Raw genomic sequence first — 14,693 nt, 5'->3', positions numbered from 1 at the left:
TCAGGCTGTGTCTTGGGCACAGGGGACTGCACGGGGGAGCGACTGAAGCGAAGGTCGCCGAGCCCCCCACGCCGCTCTTCTTAGAAGTGTGCAACCTTGCACCAGTAGTGGACTTACACATAGGCTCCGTTAGGACCTGGCTTATGTGCTCGGCTTGTGGCTTAGACGCTGCCGTGCCCCAGTGGACTCACTGTGCCTCCCCCCACGACGGACGGAAATGGGCCCCTCCAGGACAGGCGGCGCATGCGCCTTGGGGCCCGCGGGCGGCGGGGGCGAGGAGCCGGGAGCACGGTGGAGCGGTGGAGGGCGTCACTGGGTTTCGGCGTCTGGCAAGCGGTTCAGCTGTCTGCTCCCTAGCAGCCGGCCTTCGGGTCGGGCGTCTCCGCCGGCTACTGCCGCTTCAGTTCTCCCGGTGTGGCCACGAGTCGGGTGAGTCTCGGGAGTCCAGGCCGTTCCGAACGCGTTCCGTTGTTCCTCCTCAGGTCCCTGATGGCGCGTCCCGCCGAGCCCCTTCCTGCCGCCCGTCGGCCCCAGGAGGTGGGGACCAGGAAGACCCGGCTGCCGCAGGCCCACAGCCGGGCTGCTGCGCTGGGGAGGCTGCGAGCGAGGTGGCTGGGCGCTCGCTGGAACACGCTGGTGGCCGAGACAGGCCGTGGGCGTCGCTCGGGGTTGGGATCCGCCCGCCACTCACTCAACTGGCTGGTGACCTTGGGCGCGCTCCTCCCCTCCCGGAGCCGGGGCTTCCTCGCCGGTAAAATGGACCTTGAGGAATGGAGCCCTCAACACAGGGTTTGACACGATGAGCGCCCAATAAAGTGTTGTTATTGTTGTTTATCTAGCAATTGAGAATTTGCGGGTAGAAAACGGGGGCCGTTCAAGCAAGTCTCAGCTGCAGTGCCCTGTGATGTGAGAACCCACCAAGAGCCCCATCAGTACACTTTACTCTTTTTTCTCCTTTAATGCTTTTTTTTTCCAGGAAAGTAATACATTCATCTTGCTTTTCTTGCGTTTAAAGATCAGGCGTTTTACGTAGAGTCTTAAGTAAATCAGTTTTGGAAGTCTTCATTTAAAACCTCAAAGGCATGGAAGTTTTCGATGGCAAAGGAATTATGTTGTGATGCCATTCGTATCTCCTCTCCTTTATATGTATGGCTTTTGCACTTGTTTAGTTGATTTAAAATGAGTTTCTTTTTCATCCTTTTCCTACTGCGTTGAGGCCTGAACTAGTTGTCAGTTTCTGACATTCCGCGAACATCGATTGGGCATTTACCATGTGCATTGGCAAGAATGCTCCCTCACGAGCCTGTGCGTTCCTTGAGATGTGTGAACGAGTATTTTCCTCTGAAATTCACATGATTCTGGCAGAGTGCTAGGCACCTTGTAAGTCCTGGTAATGTTTATTCAGGGAAAGCTGCGAGGGCGCATTCTCTGAGAAACTCTTCGGTGGAAGTCAGAGTAGTTAAGCCCTTCTCCCTAGGCAGCACCCCCGGGTCCCTCCCAGAAGCAGCCTGGCATGGGGTCTACAGTGCCAGCGCCAGTCGCTTTCTTAGTGGTATCGGTTTAGAACTGGTCCTGTGATAAGTGGAAGTGGGCAGGGGAGGCCGTCCCCGACCGTGTCTGCGACCTCTGCTGCAGTATGGCTCATAGCTTGAAAAGTTGAAAAATAATTCTTTAATACCAGGGCCGAAATGTAGGCCTTAAAAATGTTTTATGTTATTTATTTATATATATATATATTTAAATTTTATTTTGAGACGGCGTCTTGTTTTGTCGCCCAGGCTGGAGTGCAGTGGCGCGATCTCGGCTCACTGCAACCTCCACCTCCCGAGTTCTAGTGATTCTCGTGCCTCAACCTCCTGAGTAGCTAGGGTTACAGGCCACGCCTGGCTAATTTTTGTATTTTTAGTAGAGACGGGGATTCACCATGTTGGCCAGGCTTGTCCTGACCTCAAGTGATCTGCCTGCCTCGGCCTCCCGAAGTGGTGGGATTACAGGCGTGAGCCACCGCGCCTAGCCTAAAAAGATATATTTTAGAAAGCGGAGTGTTTACAGTTTTTTTTTCTGGAGAACAGTTTCTTCAGACTCTGCACAACAGACTTTTCTGGCCTTGTTTTTTGCTTATTTTGCAGTAGCATTAGAAATTACAACTGTAGTGTAAATTTCCTGTGCAGCCGCACAATAGGAAAATCTTTCTAAAGAAAAGCCAACTGGCATTAAAATACAGGGTTCTTCCTTGTGATTATAGATTTGCTGAAGTGAGTTATTAGAATGCTTACCCGTTTTCTTTATACTAGAGTTAATACAGCGCTGGCTCTTGGTTTATTTTCTAAAATTGTGCCACCTGGTGGTTGAAATCTGTCTTAGACTACTCTTGAGGAAAATTGTACCTCAGAGTCAGTAGACAAAGATTGAAGGAGTGAGTAAAAGAAAGCTATAATTTTTATATCTTCACTAAGAGTACCCTACCGCTTCTACCCTCCCAGCTTACTCCCCAGGAAAAGTTAAAATTGCCCTTATGGGCCCCTTAGCTAGCTATCAAAACACATTTGACAGCTGAAAATTTTAAGGAATTTCAGTGGACTGTTTTGGTATCATTGTGTGCATACACAGTGGATGGGGCTGGATTGAGGAGGGAGGTGGTGGAATCGTGACAAGTTTACCTTTTTGATGTTTTCTTAAATGCCATTGTAAAGATGAGACTGACAAACTGATGGAAGTCAGAGTAGTTAAGCCTTCCTCCCCAGGCAGTCCCTGGGGTCGCTCCCAGGAGCAGCCTGGCTTGGGGTCTGCACTGGAATTAAATATTATTCTATTCAAATAATAACAGTTTGAATGGAATTTATCCCTCTCTATTTCACTGGAAACATCCAAGAACGAGGTCTTATGTTCCTTTCACTTTCGTTTCCACCATGCTGCTGATGTTCATAATTATTATTTTTTGAGATGGAGTCTCACTCTTTCGACCAGGCTAGAGTGCAGGTGGTGCCATCTCAGCTCACTGCAACCTCTGCCTCCAGGGCTGAAGCGATTCCCCTGCCTCAGCCTCCCAAGTAGCTGGATTACAGGCCCCCACCACCACGCCCAGCGAATTTTTGTATTTTTAGTAGAGACTGGGTTTCACCATGTTGGCTAGGCTGGTCTCGAACTCCTGACCTCAAGTGATCTGCCCACCTCGGCCTGCCAAAGTTCTGAGATTACAGGCGTGAGCCACAGCTTCCAGCCTCACATAAGTTATTTTAAACCCATGCCATCACTGAGATATATAGGTCAAGAGCAAATTCCATTTTATGGAAGAGAGACTTAGGTCTCAGATTAGTAACCAAAATGATGTAACTTGTGAGTAGCTGACTAGTGACAAATACAATACTCTTCTCTTTTTTTGTGTCTTGACAGACTCACTATTTCCACACTTACAGGATAGTATTACGTTGGCTGCTTTGGAACTTGGGCCTAGAATGACTACCTTTTGAACTTGTAGTCAATCAGAAGCTCTTTGGGAAATAGTTTTTCCATCTGAATGTATTTCATTCACAAACTGCTGTGAATGCCTGTCTTTCCTATTTTGAACATGGATTAAAAATCTGTCATGGTTAGAGATTATGTTGGGTTGTGACTTTGCAGCTAACTACTGTGTGACCTGGGGCTTAGTTTCTCTATGAAAATGTGGGCAGTGCATATTTTGACCTATAAAAAGACAGTTTCTCATGGTTCAACTGAATTTAAAAGGCTACCCGTTTCATAAGGTTATTGCATTGTAAGACTTGTGCTTAGCACTTGGCAAGTGTTCAACAAATTATTTTCTAAACTAATAACGTTGATATCTTCTTATGACTTTGAAGAAATTTTAAGAATAAGAATATGGAATACGTATTTAGCGTTTCTTCAGTTTGTTAAATATATTTTGAGTTAAATTGTGTTACTAGAATAGTCTTTTAAAGGTGAGTGCTGGAAGACATCAGCACTTAATTACATGTGTTCTGAGAGAACATTGCCATTTTTACAGTTGTACCTTACATATTACACCCCAGAATACAGCAGTACATCTGTGTATGCACCAACATTTAGGCAAAGCCAAGTGACACAAAGTGGATGGAAGTGAGCATAGGTGACGGGTAGGTAGAGGGCAAGGGGAGGAAGAACATATCTAGCTAAAAATATGTGGTAGAAGAAAGAAGGGAGTGATGGGGAAAGCAAGGAATCTGTTGGATAAGGGATAAGGTGAGTGTTTAGAGCTTTAGGTTAAGTAGTAGCTTCTTACCAAGAATAGGAAAAGGAAATGAAATTAAACCATTTTATTCTTTGACATAGTCATCTAGGCTAAGAAAGTAGAAGGGCCTTATAAATATATACAATTATTATTTGTCAATTCAAAGTAAAACTAAATAATGTGAATTAGAAGGGAAGACGTTTTATTGGTACCCTACCCTGATTGACAATAGCATATGTATTTGAGGTAAACTTGTTATAGAGGGAGGAAAATATGTACCATTTTATGTACTTAGGCTTATATACATCTTTGCATCTATTAATATTGTCTCAGTCAAGTGTCTTCTCAGGTATTTGTCAATTAAAGAAATCATTTCAGTACATCATAAGCTTGTTTCTGAATTGTAAAGGCACACATTTGAGTGCCGGTTGATAGAAATGTGCAAAAATATTTTGTCAAATACATTTAGAAAATGTTAGAGACATTTTCTAGTGATTAAACCAGTGTCTGTTTTCTGTTATTGTTGTTTTTGAGATGGAGACTTGCGCTGTTACCCAAGCTGGAGGTCAGTGGTGCCATCTTGGCTCACTGCAACCTTGCCTCCCAGGTTCAAGTGATTCTCCTGCTTCGGCCTCCCAAGTAGCTGGGATTACAGGCGCCCACCAACACGCCCAGCTAATTTTTTGAATTTTTAGTAGAGATGGGGTTTCGGCATGTTGGCCAGGTTGGTCTTGAACTCTTGACTTCAGGTGATCCACCTGCCTCAGCCTCCCAAAGTGCTGGGATTACAGGTGTGAGCCACCGCATCTGGCCTATACCAGTGTATGTTTTCTTTAGGAAAAAATAAGGCAGAAACCAGAAAACTAACACTTCACATAAATGTAGGTGCAGAATATTGGTACGATATTGGATAACTTAAATTGCTGAACTGTATGAAACTTAATTTTTCTAAGGCAAAAATTGATATCATTGGAAGGATCTTGGAGTCAGTGGCAGGCAAACAAAATTTAAACTTGGCTGCATTTTCTTTTTTCGTTTCAAATGAATACTTAACTAGGTGCAATGGCTTTATTTGTGGTCTTCAGCTGTGGTGTGTGTGTGTGTGTGTGTGTGTTTAGTAGTTACTGAATAGTACAGGGACCTACTGCATTTTTATAAGTTGCAATTGAAATAGTAGCTATGCTATAATCCTTTGGAATTATTTGTTCAGACAGTTTTTTGTTTCTGTTGAGTGGGAGGTGGATGGGCAGTTTGAATTTCTCACAGGTTTTTTTTTAACAGCTTGAGGTATAATTTACATACCATAAAATTCGCATGGTGAAATGCACGTAACATAAAATTTACCATCTTAACCATTTAAATGCACAGTTCAGTGGTATCAGATACATTAATAATGTTGTGCAACCATCACCACCGTCCATCTCCATAATACTTTTTATCTTGTAAAACTGCTTGTTAAACAGTAACTCCCCATTCATCTCCTCCTGCCCTTCCACCTCCCTCTGGTAACCACCATTCCACTTTCCGTCTCTTTGATTTTGACTACTTTAGGTGCCTCGTATAAGTGGAATGTTAAAGTATTTGCCTTTTAAAAAATATATAATTTCAAATTTTATTTCAGATTTTGGATATAAGTAATGTGCAGGTTTCTTACATGGGTACATTGGATGACACTGAGGTTTGGGGTACTGTTGATCCCATCATGCAGGTAAGTGAGCATAGTACCTAATGGTTTTTCAGCCCTTACCCTCCTTCTACCGTCTATTAGTCCCCAATGTCTTTTGTTGCCATCTTTATGTCTGTGAGTATCCAGTGTTTAGCTCCCACTTATAAGTGAGAATATGCCATATTTGGCTTTCTGTTGCTGCGTTAATTCACTTAGGATAATGGCTTCCAGCTGCATCCATGTTGCTGCAAAGGACATAATTTCGTCCTTTTTTATGGCTGTTTAGTATTCCATGGTGTATATGTACATATTTTCTTTATCCAATCCATTACTGATAGACACTTAGGTTGATTCCATATCTTTGCTATTGTGAATAGAGCTACAAAGAACTTATGAGTGCATGTTTTTCTTTTTGTAAAACGGTTTATTTTCTTTTGGCTATATACCCAGTAATGGGATTGCTGGATCTAGTGGTAGCTGTTTTAAGCTCTTTGAGAACTCTCCAGACTGCTTTCCACAGTGGGTGAACTAATTGACATTCCCACAACAGTGTATAAGCATTCTCTTTTCTCACAACCTCCCCCAGCATCTGTGTTTTTTTGACTTTTTAGTAATAGCCATTCTCACTGATGTGAGGTGATATCTCATTGTGGTTTTGATTTGCATTTCTCTGATGATTAGTGATGTTGAGCATTTTTTCATGTTTTTTGGCCACTTGTATATCTTTTGAGAAGTGGCTGTTGATGTCTTTTGCCCACTTTTTTTTAAAATTTGTTTATTTGTTTTGTTTTTTCGAGACGGAGTCTCACTCTGTTACCTAGGCTGGAGTGCAGTGGCGCCATCTTGGCTCACTGCAACCTCCGCCTCCTGGGTTCAAGCGATTCTCCTTCCTCAGCCTCTCGAGTAGCTGGGACTACAGGCGCCCGCCACCACACCCGGCTAATTTTTGCATCTTTAGTAGAGATGGGGTTTCACCATATTGGCCAGGCTGGTCTCGAACTCCTGACCTTGTGATCTGCCTGCCTTGGCCTCCCAAAGCGCTGGGATTACAGGTGTGAGCTACCGTGCCCAGCCTTTTGCCCACTTTTTAATGGGATTATTTATTTTTTACTTGTTGAATTAATTTCTTTATAGATTCTGGATATTAGACCTTTGTTGGATGCATAGTTTGTGAATATTTTGTCCTATTCTGTAGGTTGTCTTTATTCTATTCATAGTTTCTTTTGCTGTTTTGAGATCTTTAATTAGGTTTCAGTTTTTGTTGTAATTGTGTTTGAGTACTTAGTCCTAATTCTCTTCCGAAGGTGAATGTCCAGAATGGTGTTTCCTGGGTTTTCTTCTAGGATTCTTATAGTTTGAGGCATTCTGTGTAAATCTGTAATCTATCTAGAGTTAATTTTTGTATATGATGAAAGGTAGGGGTCCACTTTTATTCTTCTGCATATAGCTAGCCAACTATCCCAGCACCATTTATTGAATGGGAAGTCCTTTTGCCATTGCTTATTTTTGTTGACTTTGTCAAAGATCAAAAGTGTGTGGCTTTATTTCTGGGCTGTTATGTTCCATTGGTCCATGTGTGTGTTTTTGTAGGAGAAGCTTGCTGATTTGGTTATTGTAGCCTTATAGTCTGAAGTAGGGTAATGTGATACGTTTGGTTTTTGTTCTTTTTGCTTAGGATTCTTTTGGCTATTTGAGCCCCTTTTTGGTTCCATATGAATTTTTGGATAGTTTTTTCTAATTGTGTGAAAAAATGCCATTGGTAGTTTGATAGGAGTAGTGTTGAATATGTAGATTGCTTTGGGCAATATGGCCATTTCAGTGATATTGATTCTCCCAATCCATGAGCACGGAATGTTTTTCTATTTGTTTGTGTCATCTGTGATTTCTTTCAGCAGTGTTTTGTAGTTCTTCCTGTAGAGATCTTTTACCTCCTTGGTTGGATGTATTCCTGGGTATTTTATTTTTTTGGTGGCAATTGAAAATGGGATTGTATTCTTGATTTGGCTTTCAGGTTGAACCTTATAGTGTATAGACGTGCTACTGATTTTTCTATGTTGATCTTGTATCCTGAAACTACTCAAGTCATTTGGCAGAGTCTTTAGGGTTTTCTGGGTATAGAATCATATCGTCAGTGAAGAGAGACAGTTTGACTTCTTTTCTTATTCGGATGCCTTTTATTTCTCTTGACTGATTGCTTTGGCTAGGAAATAAGTACTGTGTTGAATAGGAGTGGTGAGAGCGGGCATCCTGTTCCCTTGTTCCGGTCCTCAAGGGAAATGCTTCCATCTTTTGCCTGTTCAGTATGATGTTGGCTGTGAGTTTGTCATAGATGGCTCTTATTTTGAGGTATGTTCTTCAGTGCCTAGTTTGTTGAGGGTTTTTATCATGAAGGGATGTTGGATTTTATCAAAGGCTTTTTCGCATCTATTGAGATAATCACATGGTTTTTGTGTTTAATTCTGTTTGTGTGGAGAATCACATTTATTGATTTGCGTATGTTGAACCCTATATATATGTTTTTTGACTGGCTTATTTCATTCAGAATGTCCTCACATTTCATCCATGTTGTAGCATATGCCAGAATTTCCTTCCATTTTAAGGCTGAATAGTATTCCATTGTATGTATATACCACATTGTGCTGATCCATTGTCTGTTGGACTCTTGGGTTGCTTCCATGTTTTAATTATTGTGAATAATATGCCGTGAACATGGGTGTTCAAATATCTCTTCAAAACCCTGCATTTAATTCTTATGAAAATATAGCCGGAAGTGGAATTGTTGGATCATATGGTAATTTCATTTTTAATTTTTTGAGGAACTGCTATACCAGTTTCCACAGTGGCTATCCCAGTTTACATGCCCGCCCACAGTGCGCAGGAGTTTCAGTTTCTCCACATCCTCTTTAGCGTTTGTTATTTTCTGTTTTTTTTTCAGCAGTAGCCATCCTAATGGATATGGGTTGGTTCCTGTTTTCTATTTGGAACTTTAAAAAAAATTAAAGCAGGTAATCGGTTCTTTCTTTTGGTAATCATTTCTGAGTTAGAGTAGGTTAAGCCCAGGTGGGGCACGGTAGCTCATGCCTGTCCCAACACTTTGGGAGGCTGAGGATCACTTGAGGACAGGAGTTTGAAACCAGCCTGGGCAACATAGCAAGACCCCTGACTACAAAAAAAAAAAAAAAAAAAGAACAGCTGCCCATGATGTTTTTCCTTTGACCTTGGCTGCTAATTTTCCACCTTGTGGATGATCCAATTAAACTTAAGTTCAGGGATTTCAGCTTCATGTTTTCAGTGTAATAATTAGTTTTATGGCTATATCTGTTAAATTTGAAATTTTTTTTCACAACTTCTGGTTTCATTTCATTGTTTAGTTTTTTTTTCAGCCAGCTATTAAGAAAAAAGCAATCTATATTCACACTAATATGAGACTAATGACCCTTTAACCCTCAGAATAATATACATTTTAAAATAATAAGCCAATTCTCTTAATTGGTAGAATTTCATCTGAACAAAATGAGTTGTTAATTTCGAGAATGTGGCGAAAATATTTGAAGTCAGGCTTATTAATATAAGCAAGCTGTTTCTGCTTTAGTGCTTATTTCCGGGATTGGGTCTCTTGAGGCTTCCTGCTTTTCTCCTGAACCTGTAGGTTCTCTAAATACTACTGATAACTTGCTGAATATCTTAAATCATTGAATTAGAAAGCTTTGTCTCAAGTTTAATAATTTGCCTGAGGTCACACAGCTGGTTAATGGTTAACATACTTCTCTGATAAAGGTCACTAGAGGTTCTTATGAAGATACTTTTAGGTGGCGTAACAAATGTGTTTATGCATATTCAAGACACTCTTGTATCCACAGGTTGCACTGCTGTGATCCATCCTCATCTCCTAAAGATGCATCCTGACTTATCTCCACACTTGCACACTGAAGAATGCAACGTCTTGATTAACTTGCTTAAGGAATGTCACAAAAATGTAAGAGTTCAGAAAAACGACTGTACAGCCAAAATGAAACTTAGTTATAACCCACTGATGTAAAATGTTATCTCCGTTGATAGAAGGAAACGATAATGTCTTAGTAAGGAGTCTGAGTTTAGTCAAGATTAGCAGTTGATATGTGCGATTTTTTTCTTTTTTTTACACAAACTACCTCCTTTTATGATTAGTAAAAATCAGACATGGTAGTTTGTTAGGGAACGTCTGAACTGGTATGTAACAGTTGGAATCCATGTTCTTACAATAAAATGCTTTCTCTTTCCTAATTATAGGGCACTAGAACAGTTATATTCAGCGCTGACACTTCTGATTATAATGGAATTATTCTAAAAGTATCTGCTCTTTGATGGCTACCATTCTGTGTTTAATGGTAATAGAAACGTGTTATATAATTAGACATTAACTAGATTTATGATTGGCTTAATCTGATGTGTTTAGTTGTTAGTGGAATGGAAGTAAAATTACATGGTTAAAACCAAAATAGAAAAGGAGCCCATCCATATTTGGAATACATTAAATCAAGCTGACATTTTTATAGCTGTTGAATATTTAGCTTTTCCTTATATGTTTGATATATGACACCGTTGTTACAAGAAGCATTTGTTTTTTCTTTAGCTTTGCATAGTTTTTCTCATGATGTCTACAAACTGTAGATATATCAAATTATAATAATATAAAGTATCACTTAAATGAGTAAAATTTATAGACCAAAAGTAAGGTGGTAAGTAGTGCTTATAAAATGTGAAGTCAGATATTTTTACTGGTTCAAAGAATGTTGTTGATGACAATATTTTTTGGGCTATTTCACTATACATATAGATCAAATGAGCCAGACTACATCAATAAAACATAACGTTTTGATTTTTAAAGTAAAAACTATATAAAATATTCACTGTTTAAAGAACAAGAACTAATTATTTGTGTTAAAGTAGAATATTTCAATTTGTATATGGTCAGTTATAGTCAGAGACAGAAAAGGGGAGAGGGTCTGGCAACAGAGAGGCACAGCGGAGAGAAAGAGACTCTGTGGAATAACATTTCAGTCTTGTTATTGAGGATTTTGCCAGTATAGCCCTTTAGATTTATGTTGTGCTTTTTGTAATACTAGACATAAATAAGGATATTATCGCATCATATTTATTTCCATGGTTAATCAAATTAAGGGGCAGAGTTTTTCAACCCTTGCTTTTAAGTAATCTTTGTTTTATGTTTATATTTGTATATTGCTTTTTGGTCCATGACTGTTTTTAAATTGAAATCTATTTAAACGTTGTTGTTTTTTTTTTCTTTCAAATGGATTTCTTATAATAAAGGTGGCTTCTTGAATCACTGGAACTAAAGATGGATTTTAAAAAATTAACTTTATTGAGGTGTAATTTACATGTAAGGAAATGCATCTATTTTAAGTATACAGTTTGATGAGTTTTGTCATATATAGATACCCATGCAACCACCATCACAGTCAAGATCTAAAACATTTCTATCAGTTTCCTGTGCCCCTTTGCAGTGAGTCCCCAACCCTTAACTTACGTCTTGCCCAGGTAACCACTGCACTACTTTTTGTTGATATAGATGAATTTTGCAGTTCTAGAATTTGTTAGAAATTTACACTACATCGTATATTCTTTTTGTTTTTGAGATGGAGTCTCACTCTGTCACCCAACCTAGAGTGTAGTGGCGCGATCTTGGCTCACTGCAACCTCCGCCTCCCAGGTTCAAGTGTTTCTCCTGTCTCAGTTTGCCTAGTAGCTGGGATTACAGGCGTGCGCCACCAGGCCTGGCTAATTTTTTTTATCTTTAGTAGAGACGGAGTTTCACCATGTTGGGCAGGCTGGTCTCGAACTCCTGACCTCAGGTGATCCTCCCGCCTCGGCCTCCCAAAGTGCTGGGATTACAGGCATGAGCCACTGCACCTGGCCTACATTGTATATTCCTATATTTTGCACCATGATATGTTTTTGAGGGTCATAACATGCTGTTGCACATGTCATTAGTTCATTTATTTTTATTTCTGAGTAGTAGTTCATTGTATGGATATGCCACAGTTTATTTACCTATTAATGGACATTTAGGCAAATAAACAGTTTGCAGCTGTGCTATTTTGGATAAAGCTGCTATGAACATTCATGCACAAGTCATTTGTTTTTGAGACAGAGTCTCGCTCTGTCACCCAGGCTGGAGTGCAGGGGCCCAATCTTGGCTCACTGCAACCTCTGCCTCCCAGGTTCAAGCAATTCTCCTGCCTCAGCCTCTTGAGGAGCTGGGATTACAGGTGTGTGTCACCACACCTGGCTCATTTTTGTATATTTAGTAGAGACGGGGTTTCATTATGTTGGTCAGGCTGGTCTCGAACTCCTGATCTCAGGTGATCCACCTGCCATGGCCCCCCAAAGTGCTGGGATTACAGGCATGAGCCACCGCACCCAGCCATCATGTGCAAGTCTTTGTGTAAACATCATTTTATTTCTCTTGGGTAAATACCTAGGAATGGAATGACTAGGTCATGTGTTAAGTGTATATGTACCTTCATAAAAGGCCACCAAACTGTTTTCCATTTTATACTACTCTACATTCCTACCACTGTCCATCACCACTGCCTAATATTATAAACTTTTTAAGTTCAGCCATTGTGTGGATATGTAGTAGTATCTCCTTTTGGTTTTAAATTGTATTTCCCTGATGACTAATGATTTTGACATGCTTTTCATGTGCTTCTTTGGCCATTCATATAAAATTTTTTGCCTGTATTTTAAAATTGGATTGTTTTATGACTGAGTTATAAGCATTCTTTTTATCATTTGGGATACAAATCCTTTGATAAGTGTATTGTGAATATTTTCTCTGTGGCTTTTTTTTTTTTACTTCCTTTAGGATGTGTTTCAAAGAGTAGCTTGTACATTTGATGAAGTCTTTTTTTTTTCTTTCATGGTTTGTGCTTTTTGTGTCTTAAGGATCTTTGTGTATTCTGTGGTCACAAAGATACTCCTGTATTTTCTTTTAGTTCTATCGTATTAGCTTTACATTGGTCTATGATTCGTTTCAAGTTAATTTCATTTTTTTCTTTTGATATTTGTGTATTCTTATCTGAGATTTCAAGTTAATTTTTGTGTATAGTATGAGGTGTGAGTTGAAGTTGATTTTCTTTGCCTGTGGGTAGCCAGTTGTCTCAACACCATATGTTGAAGAGACTGTTCTATCCCTGCTGATTTACCATGGTCCCTTTGTCAAAAATCAATTTACCATATGTGAGTGGGTCTATTTCTGGGCTCTCTAGTCTGTTTCACTGATTTATATGTCTCTTCTTAACACCAGTACCATGCTGTCTTAATTACTGTTGCCTTGTAGTAAGTCTCAGTCATATAGTATAAATCCTCCAATTTTGTTCTTTTTTCAAAGTTGTTTTGGCTATTCTAAGTACTTTCATTTCCATATTAATTTTAGAATCAGCTTGTCATTTTCTACAAAAAACTTGTTTACTGGTTTTTTGTTTTTTGAGGCTGAACATTGTTGATGACTTGGATTTTATCTTTTGTATCAGCAGGCAGTTCGTGTTTTTACATATTTTTAGGGCATAGCTGGCATAGTCTTTACTCTAGAGTTAGCTTAGCCCAATTACTAAATTAGGATTCTTTACTGATTGACTTGCATATTCAATGAGATCTCTACTTTGGCTTATAAGGACTCCATTGACTCCCAGCCCTGTGTGAGCTCTGCGTTTTTCAGCTTGTAGCTGCTGTAATTGTTCTTCGTAGTGACTATGGCATTGTGAAAGTCACCCAATACATGTGTAGTGAATACTCAGTCAGTGACTCAAGGCAGCTCCATGTAGATTTCTGGAGTTCTTTTGCTGCTTATCTCTACCTCACAAATTCCGGCTGCCCCAGCCTGCCCGAATTCCTCTGACGTTTGCCTCCTCTGCTCGGTGAAACTACCATTCTCCTCTTGAGTTCTGTTCTCTGCTACATGGTTTGGAAATTGTCTGTGGGTAGAAAGCTAGGTGAATGTAGGGTTCACTTTGTTTTGTTTTTTTCTTTCAGTTATCACAGTCCTGTAGTCTGTTGTCCCAATATCTGAAAATAGTTGTTTTATATATTCAGTTTGTTCTTTCATGGCTAGAAGCAGAAGTCTGGAAAATAGATTTTTAAGTAAATAGCATGGGGACAATTACATAGCTGTTTGGAAAAAGTTAGAATACCATACATATGAATCAACTAATGGGGCAGACATCTAAATGTCAAAAATGAAACGATACAAACACTAAGAAACCTGGATAAATTCTTATATAACCTAGGTGTGGGGAAAGTGTGCCTAAGTAAGGACCCTGAATTCCAGAGACAATAAAATCAAAGATTGATAAAGGATCGTTTGAGGCCTGGAGTTCCAGACCAGCTTGGGCAACATAGCAAGATCCTGTCTCTACAAAAAATAAAAATAAAAGTGGCCGGGCATGGCACATGCCTGTAGTCCTAGCTACTTGGAAGGTTGAGGTAGTAGGATCACTTACCCAGTTGTTTGAGGCTGCAGTACAACACATCAGCCTGTGTGACAAAGTGAGACCCTGTCTTTACACAAAAAAAAAAAAAAAAAGGAGGGGGAATAAGAGGCCAAAAATCAGAGAGAAAAATGAGCAAAAGCATGAGAGACAATTTAAAAAAAAAAGAAAAGATGGCCTTTAAACATGAGAAGATGTTCAACCTCAATAATTAGAGAAATACAAATTAAATATACTGAACATACCATTACTTATCTGCAGGGGGGCCAAATTAAACAGTGTGACAGCGCATTCTGTTGGCAACACTGTATACCCTCATACATTTCTGATG

At 39.9% G+C, this 14,693-nt stretch overlaps 1 protein-coding gene across 11 annotated transcripts in view, besides 3 other annotated features; it reads left to right on the top strand.

Annotated features, from left to right (window-relative positions):
* Positions 171–540: a silencer, noted in NCBI's record as "silent region_7748". NCBI's record gives its function as "represses an Ori minimal core promoter by ATAC-STARR-seq in GM12878 lymphoblastoid cells {active_cell/tissue: GM12878}" and the evidence as "EXISTENCE:reporter gene assay evidence [ECO:0000049][PMID:35858748]".
* CMC2 (C-X9-C motif containing 2) overlaps positions 278–14,693 on the top strand; it is a 40,438-nt gene continuing 26,022 nt past the window's right edge. For 3 of the 11 annotated variants that reach the window (NR_147841.2, NR_147840.2, NM_020188.5), the window contains exons 1-2: positions 278–429; positions 9,734–9,849. Coding sequence is in view for 5 of the 11 variants with exons in the window: in NM_020188.5 (NP_064573.1) it covers positions 9,769–9,849 (81 nt within the window). In the remaining 6 variants the exon portion in view is untranslated. Of the gene's footprint in view, positions 430–5,828; positions 5,916–8,808; positions 8,879–9,486; positions 9,850–10,142; positions 10,241–14,693 lie in introns of those variants that run through there. The other 8 variants (NR_147838.2, NM_001351967.2, NR_147843.2 and 5 more) reach the window with 6 other exon arrangements.
* Positions 2,864–2,953: an enhancer, noted in NCBI's record as "active region_11173". NCBI's record gives its function as "activates an Ori minimal core promoter by ATAC-STARR-seq in GM12878 lymphoblastoid cells {active_cell/tissue: GM12878}" and the evidence as "EXISTENCE:reporter gene assay evidence [ECO:0000049][PMID:35858748]".
* Positions 7,803–8,369: an enhancer, noted in NCBI's record as "NANOG hESC enhancer chr16:81032399-81032965 (GRCh37/hg19 assembly coordinates)". NCBI's record gives its function as "activates a minimal SCP1, AML or CMV promoter by ChIP-STARR-seq in naive H9 embryonic stem cells {active_cell/tissue: H9 hESC(naive)}" and the evidence as "EXISTENCE:reporter gene assay evidence [ECO:0000049][PMID:30033119]".

Source organism: Homo sapiens, chromosome 16, assembly GCF_000001405.40.
Source record: "Homo sapiens chromosome 16, GRCh38.p14 Primary Assembly".
NCBI lineage: Eukaryota > Metazoa > Chordata > Mammalia > Primates > Hominidae > Homo > Homo sapiens.
The sequence above is the reverse complement of the archived record's forward strand: the minus strand, read 5'-3'. Positions and strand labels throughout refer to the sequence as shown.